The sequence below is a fragment of the Homo sapiens genome, chromosome 19 (genome assembly GCF_000001405.40).
Source record: "Homo sapiens chromosome 19, GRCh38.p14 Primary Assembly".
Classification (NCBI taxonomy): Eukaryota; Metazoa; Chordata; class Mammalia; order Primates; family Hominidae; genus Homo; species Homo sapiens.
In genome coordinates this window covers 20,209,415-20,229,200 of record NC_000019.10, presented here as the reverse complement: position 1 = coordinate 20,229,200, position 19,786 = coordinate 20,209,415, and the positions used below count along the sequence as shown (strand labels likewise).

Sequence of the window (19,786 nt, the reverse complement as noted above, 5' to 3'; positions counted from 1 at the left end):
TGGATTACGTTTATTGATTTGCGTATGTTGAACCAGCCTTGCATCCCAGGGATAAAGCCAACTTGATCATGGTGGATAAGCTTTTTGATGCGCTGCTGGATTCAGTTTGCCAATATTTTATTGAGGATTTTTGCATCAATGTTCATGAGGGATATTGGTCTAAAATTCTCTTTTTTTGTTGTGTCTCTGCCAGGCTTTGGAATCAGGATGATGCTGGCCTCATAAAATGAGTTTGGGAGGATTCCTTCTTTCTCTATTGATTGAAATAGTTTCAGAAGGAATGGTACCAGCTCCTCTTTGTACCTCTGGTAGAATTCAGCTGTGAATCTGTCTGGTCCTGGACTTTTTTTGGTTGGTGGGCTATTAATTATATCCTCAGTTTCAGAGCCTGTTATTGGTCTATTCAGGGATTCAACTTCTTCCTTGTTTAGTCTTGGGAGGGGGTATGTGTCCAGGAATTTATCCATTTCTTCTAGATTTTCTAGTTTATTTGTGTAGAGATGTTTATAGTATTCATTCTCTGATGGTAGTTTGTATTTCTGTGGGATCAGTGGTGATATCCCCTTTATCATTTTTTATTGCGTCTATTTGATTCTTCTCTCTTTTCTTATTACTTTGGCTAGCAGTCTATTACTTTTGTTGATCTTTTCAAGAAACCAGCTCCTGGATTCATTGATTTTTTTTGAAGGTTCTTTTGTGTCTCTCTCTCTCCTTCAGTTCTTCAGACAATCAGTAAAAACAAACTTCTCCAAGCTAAAGGAGGATGTTCGAATCCATCATAAAGAAGCTGGAAACCTTGAAAAAAGATTAGATGAATGGCTAACTATAATAGACAGTGTAGAGAAGACCTTAAATGACCTGATAGAGCTGAAAACCATGGCCCAAAAACTACGTGATGAATGCAGAAGCTTGAGTATCCAATGTGATCAACAGGAAGAAAAAGTATCAGTGATTGTTAAAATGAATGAAATGAAGCAAGAAGAGAAGTTTAGAGATAAAATAATAAAAAGAAATGAACAAAGCCTCCAAGAAATATGGGACTATGTGAAAAGACCAAATCTACGTCTGATTGGTGTACCTGAAAGTGATGGGGAGAATAGAACCAAGTTGGAAAACACTCTGCAGGATATTATCCAGGAGAACTTCCCCAACCTAGCAAGGCAGGCCGACATTCAAATTCAGGAAATACAGAGAACGCCACAAAGATACTCTTCGAGAAGAGCAACTCCAAGACACATAATTGTCAGATTCACCAAAGTTGAAATGAAGGAAAAAATGTTAAGGGCAGCCAGAGAGAAAGGTCGGGTTACCCACAAAGGGAAGCCCATCAGACTAACAGTGGATCTCTCGGCAGAAACTCTACAAGCTAGAAGAGAGTGGGGGCCAATATTCAACATTCTTAAAGAAAAGAATTTTCAACCCAGAATTTCATATCCAGCCAACCTAAGCTTCATCAGTGAAGGAGAAATAAAATCCTTTACGGACAAACAAATCCTGAGAGATTTTGTCACCACCAGGCCTGCCTTACAAGAGCTCCTGAAGGAAGCACTAAACATGGAGAGGAACAACTGGTACCAGTCACTGCAAAAACATGCCAAATCGTAAACACCATCAATGTTAGGAAGAAACTGCATCAACTAACAAGTAAAATAACTAGCTAACATAATGACAGGACCAAATTCACACATAACAATATTAACCTTAAATGTAAATGGGCTAAATGCTCCAATTAAAAGACACAGACTGGCAAATTGGATAAAGGGCCCAGACCCTGGCAGGTGCAGTGGCTCACACCTGTAATCCCACCACTTTGTGAGGCTGAAGTGGGCAGATCACGAGGTCAGGAGATCGAGACTATCCTGGCTAACACAGTGAAACCCCATCTCTAGTAAAAATACAAAAAATTAGCCAGGCATGGTGGCAGGCACCTGTAGTCCCAGGCACTTGGGAGGCTGAGGCAGGAGAATGGCATGAACCTGGGAGGCAGAGCTTGCAGTGAGCCAAGATCATGCCTCTGTACTCCAGCCTGGGCAACAGAGACCCATCTCAAAAAAAAAAAAAGAGTCAAGACCCACCAGTGTGCTGTATTCAGGAGATCCATCTCATGTGCAGAGACACACATAGGCTGAAAATAAAGGGACGGAGGAAGGTCTCTGAAGCAAATGGAAAACAAAAAAAAAAAGCAGGGGTTGCAATCCTAGTCTCTGAGAAAAACAAGACTTTAAACCAACAAAGATCATAAAAGACAAAGAAGGCCATGACATAATGGTAAAGGCATCAATTCAACAAGAAGAGCTAACTATACTAAATATATATGCACCCAATACAGGAGCACCCAGATTAATAAAGAAAGCCCTTAGAGACCTACAAAGAGACTAAGACTCGCACACAATGATAATGGGAGACTTTAACACCCCACTGTCAACATTAGACAGATCAATGAGACAGAAAGTTAACAAGGATATCCAGGAATTGAACTCAGCTCTGCACCAGCCAGACCTAATAGACATCTACAGAACTCTCCACCCAAAATCAACAGAATATACATTCTCAGCACCACATTGCACTTACTCCAAAATTGACCACATAATTGGAAGTAAAGCACTCCTCAGCAAGTGTAAAAGAACAGAAAGTATAACAAACTATCTCTCAGACCACAGTGCAATCAAACTAGAACTCAGGATTAAGAAACTCACTCAAAACTGCTCAACTACATGGAAACTGAACAACCTGCTCCTGAATGACTACTGGGTACATAATGAAATGAAGGCAGAAATAAAGATGTTCTTTGAAACCAATGAGAACAAAGACAGAACATAACCAGAATCTCTGGGACACATTTAAAGCAGTATGTAGAGGGAAATATATAGCACTAAATGTCCACAAGAGAAAGCAGGAAAGATCTAAAATTGACACCCTAACATCACAATTAAAAGAACTAGAGACGCAAGAGCAAACACATTCAAAAGCTAGCAGAAGGCAAGAAAAAACTAAGATCAGAGCTGATTTTTTTTAATGGGTTTCATTGATGTTATTGCAGAGGACATGATTTTTTTTAATGGCCATGGAGTATTCCATGATTATGTGCCATATTTTGTTTTTTACTACATCTTTTATTTTATTTTATCTTTGGATGCAGGGTCTCACTTATTGCCCAGGCTAGATTACCATGGTGTGATTTTGGCTTACTTTAGTCTCAGCCTCCCAGGCTCAAGCAATTCTCCCTTACCTCATCTTCTCAAGTAGCTGGGACTACACGTGTGCGTTACTATGGCTGGCCACTTTTTCTTTTTGTATTTTCCATGTAGACAAGATTTTGCTATTTTTTTCAGGCTGGTTTCAAACTTCTAAGCTCAGGCAGTCCACCTGCCTTGGCCTTCCAAAGCTCTAGGATTGAAGGCATGAGCCACCGCTTCTGACCATACCATATTTTCTTTATTGATGGGCATTTAGGTCCTGTCCATGTCTTTGCTACTGTGAATAGTGCTGCAATGAACATGCATAGCATGCATATGGATGCGTCTTTATAATAATTTATATTTCTTTTGGTATATACCCAATTATCAGGTTCCTGAGTCAAATGATAATTCTGTTTTCAGTTCTGTGAGGAATTGCCACACTGCTTTTTACAGTTAAACTAATTTACACTCCCACCAGCAGAGTATAAGCATTCTCTTTTCTCTGCAACCTTGGTAGCATCTGTTATTTTTTGACTTTTTTAAAATAGCCATTCTGACTGATGTGAAGTGGTATCTCATTGTGGTTTTTCTTTTAATTTATTTGTTTATTTTTTTGAGATGGAGCCTGGCTCTGTCACCCAGGCTGGAGAGCAGTGGCACGATCTCAGCTCATTGCAACCTCCACCTCCCAGGTTTAAGTGATTCTCCTCTATCAGCCTCCTGACTAGCTGGGACTACAGGTGCCCACCACCATGCCAGGCTAATTTTTGTTTTTTTATTAGAGACAAGGTTTCACCATATTGGACAGGCTGGTCTTGAACTCCTCACCTTGTGATCTGCCTGCTTAAGCCTCCCAATGTGCTGGGATTACAGGTGTGAGACACCGTGCCTGGCTTCTTTTTAATTTCTTTAATGATTACCATTGAGCTTTGTTTTTCATATGCTTGTTAGCCACATGTATGTCTTCCTTTGAAAAGCATCTGTTCATGTTTTTTGCCCACTTTTTAATGAGGTTTGGTTTTTTCTTGTAAACTTGTTTAAGTTCTCATTAATTCTGGATATTAGACCTTTGTCAGAGGCAAAGTTTGCAAATATTTTCTTTTATTCTGTAGGTTGTCTGCTTACTCTGTTGATAGTTTCCTTTGCTGTGAAGAATCTCTTTAGTTTAAATAGGTCCCATTTGTCAGCTTTTGCTTTTGTTGCAATTGCTTTTGGTAGCTTCATCATGAAGTGTTTGCAGGTTTCTATGTCTAGAATGGTAGCTTTTATGTTATCTTGCAGGGTTTCTTATAATTTTATGTTTTACATTTAAGTCTTTAATTTTTCTTGAGTTGATTTTTGTATGTGGTGTAATTAAGGGGTTCAGTTTAAGTGTTCTACATATTACTAGTTAGTTATTCCGGCACCATTTATTAAATAGAGAATTTTCCCCACATTTCTTTTGTCAGCTTTGTCAAAAATCTGATGGTTGCAAGAGGGTGGCATTATTTCTGGGCTCTCTGTTCTGTTGCATTGGTCTTGTGCACATGAATTTTTTATAACATCTTTCTCTCTTCTGCTTTTCCCCCCATAAACATTTTTTTTTTTTTTTTTTGGAGAGGGAGTTTCGCTATTGCCAGGCTGAAGTGCAATGGCATGATCTTGGCTCACCACAACCTCCACCTCCTGAGTTGAAGCAATTCTCCTGCCTCAGCCTCCCATGTAGTTGAGATTACAGGCATATGCTATCATGCCCAGCCAATTTTGTATTTTTAGTAGAGACAGGGTTTCTCCTTGCTGGTCAGGCTGGTCTCCAACTCCCAACCTCAGGTGATCTGCTTGCCTCAACCTCCCAAAGTGCTGGGATTACAGGTGTTAGCCACCACACCTAGGCTAACATTCTTTCAAGTGCATCCTGTTTGCAAAACTTAGATTACCAAGAGTTCAAAGACTTTTTAAAAAGTTCCAAAAAAATTTTTCTTATTCTCTTTTTCCTTAAGGGATTTAGATTATGTGTAGATATTTTTCTCTGCTTTCTTGAAATATCTGTAAACCATATTAACAGTTAAATAAACTTTGTCTTTTTTTTTTTTTTTTTTTTTACTTTAGATTATCTTTTCTAGTACATCTGATTTATTGGTTTATTTCTAATTTTAAAAAGTTTGTTTCTCTCCTTTTTAGGACTTTTTTTTTTTTTGGATGGAGTTTCAGTTTTGTTGCCCAGGCTGGAGTGCAATGGCATGATCTTGACTCACCAAAACCTCCACCTCCCAGGTTCAAGGGATTCTCTGGCCTCAGCCTCCCGAGTAGTTGGGATTACAGTCACGTGCCACCATACCCAACTAATTTTGTTTTTTTAGTAGAAACGGGGTTTCTCCATATTCCTCAGGCTGGTCTCAAATTCCCAAACTCAAGTGATCTGCCCGCCTCAGCCTCCCAAAGTGCTGGGATTACAGGCATGAACCACCATGCCTGGCCCATTTTTAGTCCTTTAAAGTAAACACAAATGTGTTTAGATAAAAGCTCATTTTAAGAGCACACAGAAGCTTAGCAGAAACATAGGATTAAATTTAGCAATATGGAATGAGAAACGCTAAAAGATACTAAGTTTCTTTGAAAGTAACTTTATTATCCAAGGTAATTATCCAACATTTGCAGGCTGAAGTACTTACACAGCAAAAACAAAAAGAGTTCAGTGCATAAACTGAACAGTAGAGTCTGTAGTTGTACTTGGCTTTCTATTGATGACTTCAGAACAATTAGCATAGTTATGTGTAGTGTTTGCAGACACTACACATAACAATACATTCATATACATTAAACAGTTTTCTTTTTCTTTTTTTTTAATTTTTCTTTGAGACAGAGTCTCACTCTTGCCCAGGCTGGAGTGTAGGGGCGTGTTCTGCTCACTGCAACCACTGGGACCCAGGCTCAAGTGATTTCTCCTGCCTCAGCCTCCTGAGTAGCTGGGATTACAGGCACACCCCACCATGCCTGGCTAAGTTTTTGTATTTTTAGTAGAGATGGGGTATCACCGTGTTGGCCAGCTTGATTGTGAACTCTTGACCTCAGGTGATCCACACACCTCAGTCTCCCAAAGTGCTGGGATTATAGGCATGAGCCATAAACAGTATTTTTTACAATAGTATGAATATAAAGCCACAATACTTACTTTGAATGAATCACTTAAATGGTTATTTTAATATTGTTATTTACACTTTTGAAATATAAACTATTTTAACTGAAGTATAGTTAAACTTTTTAACTGCCATATACATTACTACTAGTTTATTAAAATTATTTATACTTAGATATTTAATCTAATACCCCAAAAAATTTACTACCAAATTGTTACAGTCAATACTAGTCTGACATGTTTATTACTTTATTCAATAGGGATAATTATAAGTAAACACAATTTTAGTATCTTTTATTTCACTCAATTGGAATGCTGCTATTACAAATGAAATAAAGACAGTTGATGTGGCCACCCAAAAACCATGATAGCTCTTCAGTTAACTATGTTGGAAGTTCTAATATACTCCACAATGTGAACACAGTCAGATTCTATTTCTGCATCAAAAAGTGTTGTTGGAAGTTGTCAGATATATTTCAATATAGAACCCCCATTCAATGACTAGGAGATGAGAGAGCAGCAGAGATGGGAAAAAAAGCTTTATAAAATTCTTCTGAAATTCTGCCCCCTTTCTTCATAATGCTCATGTTTCTCATGCTGAGAGTAATTGTGCACTTTGGGTGGTTAGAGAGAAATTGCTTTTAGGGGACTATTTTCTGGCTGACTTGATCAATCTTATATCTAAACTGAGCTTTTTCTCAAGATCTTTTTTCTCAAGATCTTTTTAACTTTTTTCTCTCAAAATTATCTTGCTCAGATGGAGATCTGTTTTTCTCTCCAATACTTTGGGTGTCTGTTTCAGAAGCCCTATTAGTATCCCATGGTGTCTGAATGAGGTAGGCTGTCACAGTGAGAACTTTTGTAGATATCTCTATCTGGACTCATGCTGGAAATTCATCCGATTTTTTTTCCATGTCACCATGATAATTAAAAACGGGCTGAAACACTGGTCACATTCCCATTATTGTGAAAGTGCAATTCTACTCACAAGGCCTGCAGGCTCTCCTGCAGCTCAGGCTTTCCTCTCTGATGTGACACTAGAGTGCTGCTGTGGGAAATGTGGTTCACATAAACTGAGCTGTGCTCAAGGCTGTCCCTCAGTGGCAGATGAGAGAGGTCAAGAGGACACTAGCAACCAGGAAAAAGCAAGAAAGTGCTGTAGCCCAATGCCATGGAACACAGAGCCACTGCTGTAAAATGTAAATAGCCAAAAGGATAGAATGCTTTTCAACCATTTTTGTAGCAGAGTGAAAACCTACCTTCAGCAAGTACCTGGCTTCAAGCTGCTAAACTACCTCCTGTTATGAAGGTGTGAAAAGTTTTTTTGTTATTGAATATAAACAATTAGCATATACAGATGGCCTCTTCAATCTCCATGTGAATTTAGGATGAACTATGTATGACATGGTTCTGGAAATTCTACTTGTGGACTAATTTTGGTGACCATCTTTCTGTCTCTGCAGTCTCTTAAGCAGATTGACTATGATGCATGTCACATAAAACAGTTTTCTTTCTGTTCTATTGTGGAGTTTTTCTGGGGCTGGAGAACATTCTTTTGTTATTTCCAAACACTGTCTATAATTACCAGACATGATATAAACACATAAGGTGCCAACTGGAATTTACTCTAGAGGGGACTTTCCCTCTCAGACTTCCAGTCAACTCACACTTGTGCAACAAAGTGCATGCTGTCCCCTAAATATGCAAGCAGAACTGTGTTTCTGCCTATTTGGTATCTATAGTCCTCTACAGTCACTTCTAGAGAGACTAAACCAAATTTCTACCAACTTCACAGGGCAACAATCAATAGTTTTATCTCAATGACTCTTGTATCTTCAGACCTTAAACTGATTCAGAGACCATGGGGCCCACAAACCTAATCAGAGTAACGTTTTCATTGAGTACACATTCAGACATGAGAATCTTCACTTTCCCCTTTTTTCTCTTGGTAAAATGTTCACAAATGTGCAGGTAACACCTGCTGCTACTCCAGCCATTCGGGCCCTAAATCTGCAGCTCTACATTTTGTATCTAGGTCTTGAGATTTGGGAAATAGAAAATTTTTATCTAAAAATGCAAGTCCTTTTGGTTATCAAACTCAGACATTGAAATGAAAGTGCAGTTACGCCTTTCTCCTCCTTTGAAATATGTATTCATCTCTTGAAACTGTTCACTATTGCCACAAGTAGATGTATATTAAACTGATAATACCACATTGGACACTGTATCTCATACCCTAAACCATAATGATATATGTCCAATCAATAACCAATGTTACTTCTTTAAATAAAAATTTCTGACAACTCTATCAGCCCACTCTCTGTCCCTTTGTTTTTGTCTTCACAACTCCTCTTGCAACTGCTGTTAATGAAAGTGTAGATTCTAGGCAACTTCAGTCTTTGCTCCCAGGTTATAATCCTTAAACTTCACCCAAATAAACTGTCTACTTACATTCATGTTGTGTCAGCTTTTTTTTTTTTTTCATGTAGGCTTAATACTTAGAAAGTGCTAGAGCAGCCTCTATTAGGGGATCTCTTCTCTGATTGTACTCCACTTGCTGTAACACCAAAGGATGCAGAACCAGGTGGGTCCTACCTAGAATCTGCAGATAAGGTATGGCTTCTGCCTGGGGTTTACAAAAAAGGGTCAGACTGTAAGAGTGTCCAGGAGGAAATAGAATCTGATGGTAGAATCTGTAAGTGTAAATAAACATCTTAGGAGTGAGACATCAAGTCCACAAAATAGCCAGAGCCATGTGCACAACTATATTTACCTGTAAAATGTGATACTGGAGTAGAATATTTTCATTCTTTCTCTTACCCAAATGCTAGCAAATCAGAATGGGTGATCCAGGTTCTTGAGCTCCACCAAGGCAGTTCCATTTTCTACTTAGAGTCAGCCTGAGTCTCTCCAGCCTGGCTTATCATTGAGTCTCTCCAGCCTGGCTTATCATTGAGTCTCTCCAGCCTGGCTTATTGAGACATCAGCCCATGGTCACTGGGAATTCTCTCACAATCACCTAGGTGTCTTTGAGGCATTTGGGAATATCCAGAGCAGAGTTGTGTCAGGTTGACAAGAGTGATTAATTCTGCTTCTGTCTCGGTGTAAGAGAAATCAGTCATCCTGTGTTTTTGTTCATCCTCTCATACAAGAGGTATCTTTGGTTGGTACTCAGATGAGAGTTTATCCAGTTTTCTGGTACTTGGATGATAAATAAGGAGACCTGGAGACCCAAATAGATAAACTCATTACTTCCATTTTATATGGCCATTAAAAAAATACATGAAGCAGTCATTGTTCCTACAATCCAGAAACTTTTAGTCTAGACTAGCAACTTCATGAATAATTGAATTATGCATCATATGGTTGGTGGAATATATAGATGTGTCCAAAGTCTTGGGCTTTATTTATGCCACTTTATGCTGTTGTGACTTCTGATATCTACACCTGAATATATTTATGAACCGAACAATTATTATAGTTTTGTTGTTTTTTTTTTAGACAGAATCTCAGTTCCCCAGGCTGGAGTGCAGTGGCACGATCTTGGCTTACTGTAATTTCTGCCACTCGGGTTCAAGCCATTCTCCTGCCTCAGCCTCCCAAGTAGCTGAGATTACTGGCCACAGCCACGATGCCCAGCTAATTTTTGTATTTTTAGTAGAGGCAAGGTTTCACCATCTTGGTCAGGCTGGTCTTGAACTCCTGCCCTCATGATCCACCCACCTCAGCCTTTCAAAGTGCTGGAATTGTGGGACTTAGCCACTGCACCCAGCCGTATAGTTTCTATTTCTTTTACCTTGCTAACTGTACATATTTATTTTCCAATAAAATTACCCTAGGAAACCTGAAGGGATTTCTTTAAATTGCATATTAGTATATAGTATAAAGTTGACAGGGCCGTGGCTAGAAAATATTAAAATTACAGAAACTCTGGGATTTAAGTTTCTTTTAGGTAGGCTTAGAAAAACAAAACTGGAAGTATCCCAGTGGCATAGAGAACAGAATTCTACAAAGGATCCTCACTCTGCCCCAGACCTGTTCAGATTCACCTTTTTTGGAGGCTTTATGTAGGTCCAGACCTACCCTGGAGTCTTGCCTCACAGAACTGATTGGCAGAGATCAGTTTTGGCTGGTGAATCCTGCAGTATTTCTAGAGCTGCTGCTCACAATTTCCTGAAATCCAAAAGCAGATAAATACAAAAAAATAAAGTATGTATTTGAGGGTCTTCATTTTTAAATTTTCTTTTTTTTTTTTTTTTTTTTTGAGACGGAGTCTCACTCCGTTGCCCAGGCTGGAGTGCAGTGGCGCGATCTCGGCTCACTGCAAGCTCTGCCTCCCGGGTTCATGCCATTCTCCTGCCTCAACCTCCGAGTAGCTGGGACTACAGGCGCTCGCCACCACGCCCAGCTAATTTTTTGTATTTTTAGTAGAGATGGGGTTTCACCACGTTAGCCAGGATGGTCTCGATCTCCTGACCTCGTGATCCGCCCGCCTCTGCCTCCCAAAGTGCTGGGATTACAAGCATGAGCCACCGCACCCAGCCGTTTTTTAATTTTCTATGAAAACCATTGGATGCAGAGACATTCTATTTAGCAACTTGTTTCTTATTCCCGCAGATCCAGTAGTTGCTCCGTAAGTCAAAAAAAAGTAAATACAAACAGAATAAAATTTTCTCTAAACTAACCTCTTCCTTTTTATGTCTCATTCATCTGTCTATACTTAGCTTTTATTCTATACAATTTTTAAAAATTTTTGATGACAGAAAAACAAGAAATTAAAATGCTTGGCTCTTTTTCTAAATCCTGGTAATTACCTTCTGTTTCTTCTGTAAACTTTAAAGAGCCAGCAAAGAATATAAAACTTTAGGATGGAGATGAGTTGTCCTTATTTGTACCAGAGTTATCTGATTGTGACAACAGTGCTAAGTGTAAGGGACCCTGTGGTTTGCCTGCTTTTCTAACTAATGTTAATAATGAGCCAAGGAGGAGTAACATCAGCATTGACAGGGGACTTGTTTAAAACACTGATTCACAGACCCTTTTCAAACCTGCAGAATCACATTACTTAAAGTGTGGCCAGAATTACCAAGTGAATTATAAGCTCATTAAAGCTTGAGAGGCAATGCTTAGCTTAGTGGTTATCAGCCCAGGCTTCTCATTAGGATCACATGGCCAATATGCAGAAATCTCTTGTACCCTCACCACAGCTTCTGTTTATTATTCTGGTTGAAAACATCCATGTTGTTTTAATGAAGGGCCTCATGTGACTCTAAGGTGAGGCCAGAATCAGGTATGAGGCCTTCAAAATATATTCATGAGAATTAAGTTCCACTTTTGGACTAAAGGGTAGCCACAGGGCCTGTTCTGTTTTGGCTTGGTATGGACAGGTCAGAGTGGTGTATATTTGTATTACTGTATGAAGCAGGTACTATGTGCTCAAGATTGTGATACAGAGAACTCTGCTGGGCATAATACATTATATAATTTAATCCTCATAACACCCTGGGAGCTGGTACTAAGGATTTAATACTAATTTCCAGGATTTAGAAAAAGGGCCCAGCATTTTAATTTCTTCTCTTTTTCTCTGCAGGTTCTGTAGCAGAAATTGCTGGTGTCTGTGGCAGGGGAGGGCACCTGAGGACAGGGAAGAAGAAACATATTTTTATCTTTATGGAGCAGCACATTGTTCCCAAATACCTTCTGCTTTAAGGGACAGAAATGGATGGACTTTTTCTGTCTTTTCTGCCAGTTGATGTCATGCTTGCAGGTAAACATGTGGTACTGACACCCTTAAAGGCATATTCTCAAGAGGCAGGTAAAAAACCAATTCCAAAAAAGTATTGCAACAAAAGGAAGCACCAAATAACTATAATATCTTTATGGCTTGCAAAAATATAGGCAGAAAAGGGCTTTCTTTTCTAGGGAAGAGCAAACAAGATTAGAAAGGAGGTGGGAGAGGAACAGCAAATGGAGGGTGAAAAAGTCAGATTTTAGATCAGAGAATGGCTTACCCTGAAATCAGCATGTTCTTAGGAGGGACATAAAATGGGGTTGTATGTTGACTCAGACTGAGGGTAGCTTGAATTTCAGGAGCCTGAGAGAAGATAAACTTAAGTAAAATTTGATTAAGAAATATTTTATTTTAGGCTGGGTGTGGTGGCTCAAGTCTGCAATCCCAGCACTTTGGGAGGCTGAGGCAGGCGGATCACCAGAGGTCAGGAGTTCAAGACCAGCCTGGCCAACATGGTGAAACCCTGTCTACTAAAAATACAAAAATTAGCTGGGCGTTGTGGCAGGTGCCTGTAATCCCAGATACTTGGGAGGCTGAGGTAGGAAAATTGCTTGAGCCCTGGAGGTGAAAGCTGAAGTGAGCCGAGATGGCCCCACTACACTCCAGCCTGGGTGACAGAGTGACACTCCATCTCAAAAAAAAAAAAAATCATAATTGATTTTGACTGCTGAAGGCAAATTCAGCTGGTTTTTTGTTTTTTTTTTAATGAGAAAAAGGAGAAAATGTGCAGAGTGTATGTCTGGCTGTGTGATAGGCAAGAAAAGGGAGCATCATCTTAATCATAACGGGAAGAGTGTTTCTTTCCATAAACTGTTCCTGAAGCACACAAAGGAAGGAGAATTTTATTAATCACAAATATTTTTCATAATTATCTATGTGTTTCATCTTTCCTCATCTCTTTTCTTTGTTCTATGCATTTCTTCCACTTGGCTTTTCCTGGGCTGCATCTTATATATTAAACCAGTAAGCATAACTACAGTGTTTTGCTGAGTTCTGTGAGTAGCTCTACCAAATTACTGAGCTTCAGGGAAGTTATGGGAGTCCCCAGTTTTTAAACAGTAGCTCAGAACCATAGATGGGCCCATGGGATTTATGACTGGCATCTGCAGTGAGAACAATGTTGTGGGACCGAGCCCTGAATCAGGGTCTGTGCTGACTCTGGGTAGTGTTAGAAATCAAATGTTATACAATAAGTTGGTGTTGGAGAATTGTTTGATGTTCAGCAAATGCTACAGATTTGGTGCCAGAAAGAAGATATCATGGAGGCCTGGCCTGGAATAAAACTCTGGGTGTTTGGGAATGGGAGATTCTGCTCTCCTGTACACAGATTGTCACACTGCCCATTGTCCTGTGATTCCAGGTCTTCTCCCAGGGTGACAGAGGACTGAAAACTTACAGGAAAGGAGCTCTGATGACACATCCCCTTTTCTTGCAGCTGCCACCACAGGATTCCCACATACTCCCAAACACACACACTAGACATTGACATGTCCACACTCCTCCCAGGACTAGGCACCACCCTCAGTGACTTCACCATGACATTTTTGGTCCAAGCACTTCTAGCCAAAAAGCCAAAAGTATCTACAAGTTTCCTTGCATATTCCCATCCCCGGATATCGAATCTGCAGCAGCAACCTGTTTTCTCCACCAGCCTAGGGTTCTGGCCCTCCTTTTCATAATCTCATCTGCCTGCATGCACACAGAAATAAATCAGAGTACAGCCCCACCTGGTCAACTATCTGTAGCAAAAATCTGTCCATTCACTGACATTGCACTCTCTCTCACCTGGGGATTTTTTTTCTTTTTTTTTTTAATTTATTTTTTTTATTGATCATTCTTGGGTGTTTCTCGCAGAGGGGGATTTGGCAGGGTCATAGGACAATAGTGGAGGGAAGGTCAGCAGATAAACAAGTGAACAAAGGTCTCTGGTTTTCCTAGGCAGAGGACCCTGCGGCCTTCCGCAGTGTTTGTGTCCCTGGGTACTTGAGATTAGGGAGTGGTGATGACTCTTAACGAGCATGCTGCCTTCAAGCATCTGTTTAACAAAGCACATCTTGCACCACCCTTAATCCATTTAACCCTGAGTGGACACAGCACATGTTTCAGAGAGCACAGGGTTGGGGGTAAGGTCAAGAGATCAACAGAATCCCAAGGCAGAAGAATTTTTCTTAGTACAGATCAAAATGAAGTCTCCCATGTATACTTCTTTCTACACAGACACGGCAACCATCCGATTTCTCAATCTTTTCCTCACCTTTCCCCCCTTTCTATTCCACAAAACCGCCATTGTCATCATGGCCCGTTCTCAATGAGCTGTTGGGTACACCTCCCAGACGGGGTGGTGGCCTGGCAGAGGCGCCCCTCACCTCCCGGACGGGGTGGCTGGCCGGGCTGGGGGCTGACCCCCCCCACCTCCCTCCCGGACGGGGCGGCTGGCCGGGCGGGGGGCTGACCCCCACCTCCCTCCCGGATGGGGCGGCTGGCCGGGCGGGGGGCTGACCCCCCCCACCTCCCTCCCGGACGGGGTGGCTGCCGGGCGGAGACGCTCCTCACTTCCCAGACAGGGCGGTGGGGCAGAGGCGCTCCCCACATCTCAGACGATGGGTGGCCAGGCAGAGACGCTCCTCACTTCCCAGATGTGATGGCGGCCGGGAAGAGGCGCTCCTCACTTCCTAGATGGGATGGTGGCCAGGCAGAGACGCTCCTCACTTTCCAGACTGGGCAGCCAGGCAGAAGGGCTCCTCACATCCCAGATGATGGGCGGCCAGGCAGAGACGCTCCTCACTTCCCAGATGGGGTGGCGACCGGGCAGAGGCTGCAATCTCGGCATTTTGGGAAGCCAAGGCAGGCGGCTGGGAGGTGGAGGTTGTAGCGAGCCAAGATCACGCCACTGCACTCCAGCCTGGGCACCATTGAGCACTGAGTGAACCAGACTCCGTCTGCAATCCCGGCACCTCGGGAGGCCGAGGCTGGCGGATCACTCGCGGTTAGGGGCTGGAGACCGGCCCGGCCAACACAGCGAAACCCCGTCTCCACCAAAAAAACACGAAAACCAGTCAGGCGTGGCGGCGCGCGCCTGCAATCACAGGCACTCGGCAGGCTGAGGCAGGAGAATCAGGCAGGGAGGCTGCAGTGAGCTGAGATGGCAGCAGTACAGTCCAGCTTCGGCTCGGCATCAGAGGGAGACCGTGGAAAGAGAGGGAGAGGGAGACCCTGGGGAGAGGGAGACGGAGACGGAGAGGGAGAGGGAGGGGGAGGCGGAGGGAGAGGGAGAGGGGATTTGTTTTTCTTTTAGCTTTTATTTTTGGTTCCGGGTACACATGTGGGTTTGTTATACAGCTAAAATTATGTCATGGGGATTTGGTGTGCCGATTATTTTGTCACTGAGGTACTACCCATAGCACCAAACAATTATGTTTTCTGATCTTCTGAGTCCTTCTACCCTCCAGCCTCAACTAGGCCTGTGTCTGTTCTTCTCTTTGTGTTCTGTGTTCTTACTTCTTAGCTCTTATTTATAAATTATAACATGCATTTGGTTTTGTGTTTCCGCATTAGTTTTCTTTTTTTGTTGTTTTTTTGTTTGTTTGTTTTGAAAGGGAGTTTTGCTCTTGTTGTCCAGGCTGGAGAGCCATGGTAACATCTTGGCTCATCAAAACATTCGTATCCTGGGTTCAAGCGGTTCTCCTGCCTCAGCCTCCCCAGTAGCTGGGGTTACAGGCAGGCACCACCATGCCTAGCTAATTTTGTATTTTTAGTAGAGACAGGGTTAATCCATGTTGGTCAGGCTAGTCTCAAACTCCCAACCTCAGGTGGTTCGCCCACCTCGGCCTCCCAAAGTGTTAGCATTACAGGCATGAGCCACCATGTCCAGCCTCTGCATTCATTTTCTAAGAATAATGGTCTCCAGATTCATCTATGTTATTGCAAAGGACATGATTTTTTTTAAATAGCTACCCAGTATTTTGTAATGTTTATATACCATATTTTGTTTTTACTAAATCTTTTATTTTATTTTATTTTTGGAGACAGGCTTATTGCCTAGGCTACAGTGCCAGGGCATGATATTGGCTTACTTTAGCCACAATCTCCCAGGCTCAAGCAATTCTCTCCTACCTCATCTTCCCTTGTAGCTGGGACTACATACGTGCATTACCATAACTGGGCAATTTTATATATTTTTTTTTTCCGGGGAGACAAGATTTTGTCTTGTTGCCCAGGCTGGTCTCAAACTTCTAAGCTCAGGCAACCCACCTGCCATGGCCTCCCAAAGTGCTGGGATTATAGGCATGAGCCACAACATCTGACCATACCATATTTTCTTTATCTAGTCTATCATTGGTAGGCATTTAGTGCCTGTCCGTGTCTTTGCTATTGTGAATAGTGCTACAGTGAACATGCATATAGATGTGTCTTTGTAATATAATAATTTATATTTCTTTGGGTATATACCCAATTATGAGGTTGCTGGGTCAAATGATAATTCTGTTTCTAGTTCTGTGAGGAATCGCCACACTGCTTTTTACAGTTGTTGAACTAATTTACACTCTCACCAGCAGAGTATAAGCATTCCCTTTTCTCTGCAACCTTGCCAGCATCTATTATTTTTTGACTTTTTAAAAATAGCCATTCTGATGGGTGTGATGCGGTATCTCATTGTGGTTTTTCTTTTAATTTCTCTAATAATTAGCAATGAGCATTTTTTTCACATGCTTGTTAACTGCACATTTGTCTTCTTTTGAAAAGAATATGTTCATGTTTTTCTTTTCTACTTTTAATGAGGTTATTTGTTTTTTTTCTTGTAAACTTGTTTGAGCTCTTAATAAATTCTGGATATTAGTCCTCTGTCAGAGGCAATGTTTGCAAATATTTTCTTTATTCTGTATGTTGTCTGTTTACTCTGTTGATAGTTTCCTTTGCTGTGAAGAAGCTCTTTAGTTTAAATAGGTCCCTTTTGTCCATTTTTGCTTTTGTGGCAATTGCTTTTGATAGACTCATCATGAAGGTTTTCCCAGTTTCTATGTCTAGAATGGTATTTCTTAGGTTATCTTGCAGGGTGTCTTATAATTTTAAATTTTACATTTAAGTCTTTAATTTATTTTGAGTTGAGTTTTGTATATGGTGTAATGAAGAGGTCCAGTTTCAGTCTTCTGCATAGTGCTAGGTAGTTATTCCAACTCCATTTATGAAATAGAGAATTCTTCCCACATTCCTCTTGTCAGCTTTGGCAAAAATCTAATCGTTGTAGGAGGGTGGCATTATTTCTGGGCTCTCTATTCTGTTGCATAGGTATTGTTCATTCATGGATTTTTTATAACATATTTCCCTCTTCTGCATTTTCACCCATAAACATTCTTTCAAGTGCATACAGTATGCAAAATTCAGATGTCCAAGAGTTGAAAAAATTTAAGAAGTTCCAAAAAAATATTTTATACCATGGAGCTAGCAAATTAGAATAGGTGATCTAGGTTCTGGAGCTCCACCAGGACAGTTCCATTTTCTATTTAGAATCAGCCTGAGTCTCTCCAGCCTGGTTTATCATTGGGACATTAGCCCCTGGTCACCGAGAATTCTCTCACAATCATCTAGGTGCCTTTGAGGCATTTGAGGATGTCCTGAGCGGAATTATGTCAGGCTGACAAGAATGGTTAATTCTCCTTCTGTCTCAGTGTGAGAGAAATGAGTCATCCTGTTAGTTCATCCCCTCATACAAGAGGTGTCTTTGGTTGGTACCCAGATGAGAGTTTCTCCGGTTTCCTGGTACTTGGATGATACAAAAGGAGAAAATCCGGAGACCCAAATAGATAAACTAGTTGCTTCCATTTCATATGGCCATTTAAAAAAATCCATGAAGCAGTCATGGTTCCTACCATCTAGAAACTTTTAGTCTAGACTAGCACCCAGATAAATAATTGAATTATGCATCATATGGTTGGTACAATAAATAGATATGCCCAAAATCTTAGGCTTTATTTAGGCTATTTCTTTATATTGTTGTAACTTCTCATGTCTACACCTGAAGGGATATTTATGAACAGAAAAATTGTTATTATAATTTCTTTTTTATTTTTGAGATGGAGTCTTACTCTGTCACCAAGGCTGGAGTGCAGTGGTGCAACCTTGGCTCACTGCAACCTCTGCCACCCAGGTTCAAGTGATTCTCCTGCCTCAGTCCCTCAAGTAGCTAGGATTACAGGGGCCTGCCACTGCACCTGGTTAATTTTTGTATTTTTAGTGGAGACGTGGTTTCACCACCTTTATCAGGCTGGTCTCAAACTCCTGACCTCGTGTTCCACCCGCCTCGGCCACCCAAAGTGCTGGGATTATGGGCATGAGCCACAGCACCCGGCCATATAAAATCTATTTCTTTTATGTTGTTAAGTGCACAGTATTTATTTTCTAATAAAATTACACTACAAAACCTGAAGAGATTTGTTTAATTTGCATATTAGTATATAGTATACAGTTGACAGGGTAGTGGCTAGAAAAAATGAAAATAACAGAAACTCTGGGATTTTAGGCTTCTTTCAGGCAAGCTTAGAAAAAACAAAATTGTTAGTACTCCAGTGGCATAGAGAACAGAATTCTATAGGGTCCTCACCTTGTCCCAGACCTGTTCAGATTCACCCTTTTTGGAGGCCTTATTTAGGTCTGACCCTGCCCTGGAGTCTTGCCTCACAGAACTGATTAGAAGTTATCAGAATTTTGGCTGATGAATCCTGCAGCAGTTCTAGAGCTGCTACTCACAATTTCCTGAAACCCAAAAGCAGATAAATGGGAAAAATAAAGTATATATTGTAGAGCCTTAGTTTTTAAATTTTACTTATTTATTTATTTATTTCTTGAGATGAAGTTTTGCTCTTGTTGCCCAGGTTGGAGTGCAGTGGCACGATCTCGGCTCACTGCATCCTCCACCTCCCAGGTTCCAGCGATTCTCCTGCCTCAGCCTCTTGAGTAGCTGGGATTACAGGCATGCACCACCATGCCTGGCTAATTTTGTATTTTTAGTAGAGATGGGGTTTCTCCATGTTGGTCAGGCTGGTCTTGAACTCCCGACCTCAGGTGATCCACCTGCCTTGGCCTCCCAAAGTGCTGGGATTACAGGCGTGAGCCACTGCACCCGGCCAGTTTTTAAATTTTCCATTAAAACCAGTGGTTGCAGAGACATTCTCTTTAGCAACTTGTTTTCTATTCCTGCAGATCCAGTAGTTGCTCCACAAGTCACAAAAAAGTGAATATAAACAGAATAAAATTTTCTCTGAGCTACATTAAACTCTTCCTTTCTATATCTCTTTCATCTGCCTATATTTAGCTTTACTATTTACAGTTTTTTAAAAAATTTGATGACAGAGAAACAGAAGAAATAAAAATGCTGGGCCCTTTATCTAAATCCTAAAAATTATTAAACCCTTAGTACCAGCTCCCAGGGTGTTATGAGAATTAAATTACATAATGAGGGATGACCAGCACAGTGCTCTGTATCTTACCCTTGAGCACATAGTACCTGCTTAATAAACATTGCATTAGTACATGTTTACATGTTGTTTTTTAAATACAGACTTATTCAGACATTGCTGACTTTTGTTTCCTCTGTAAACTCTAAAGAGCCAGCAAAGACTATAAAACTTTAGGAGGGAGATGGGTTGTCCTTATTTGTACCAGAAGTATTTGGTGGTGACAAGAGTGCTAAGTGTAAGGGACCCT

General features: G+C 41.0%; 1 long non-coding RNA gene and 1 pseudogene across 2 annotated transcripts in view; one reads left to right on the top strand and one right to left on the bottom strand.

Moving 5' to 3' along the window:
* Window positions 1–19,786, top strand: part of LOC105372310 (uncharacterized) — a 148,126-nt gene that overhangs the window by 42,628 nt on the left and 85,712 nt on the right. For both annotated transcript variants that reach the window (XR_007067164.1, XR_001754065.2), the window contains exon 5: window positions 718–12,061. This is a non-coding gene — a long non-coding RNA (uncharacterized LOC105372310). The remainder of the gene's footprint in view (window positions 1–717; window positions 12,062–19,786) is intronic.
* On the bottom strand, window positions 6,740–7,323 carry BNIP3P17 (BCL2 interacting protein 3 pseudogene 17; annotated as a pseudogene).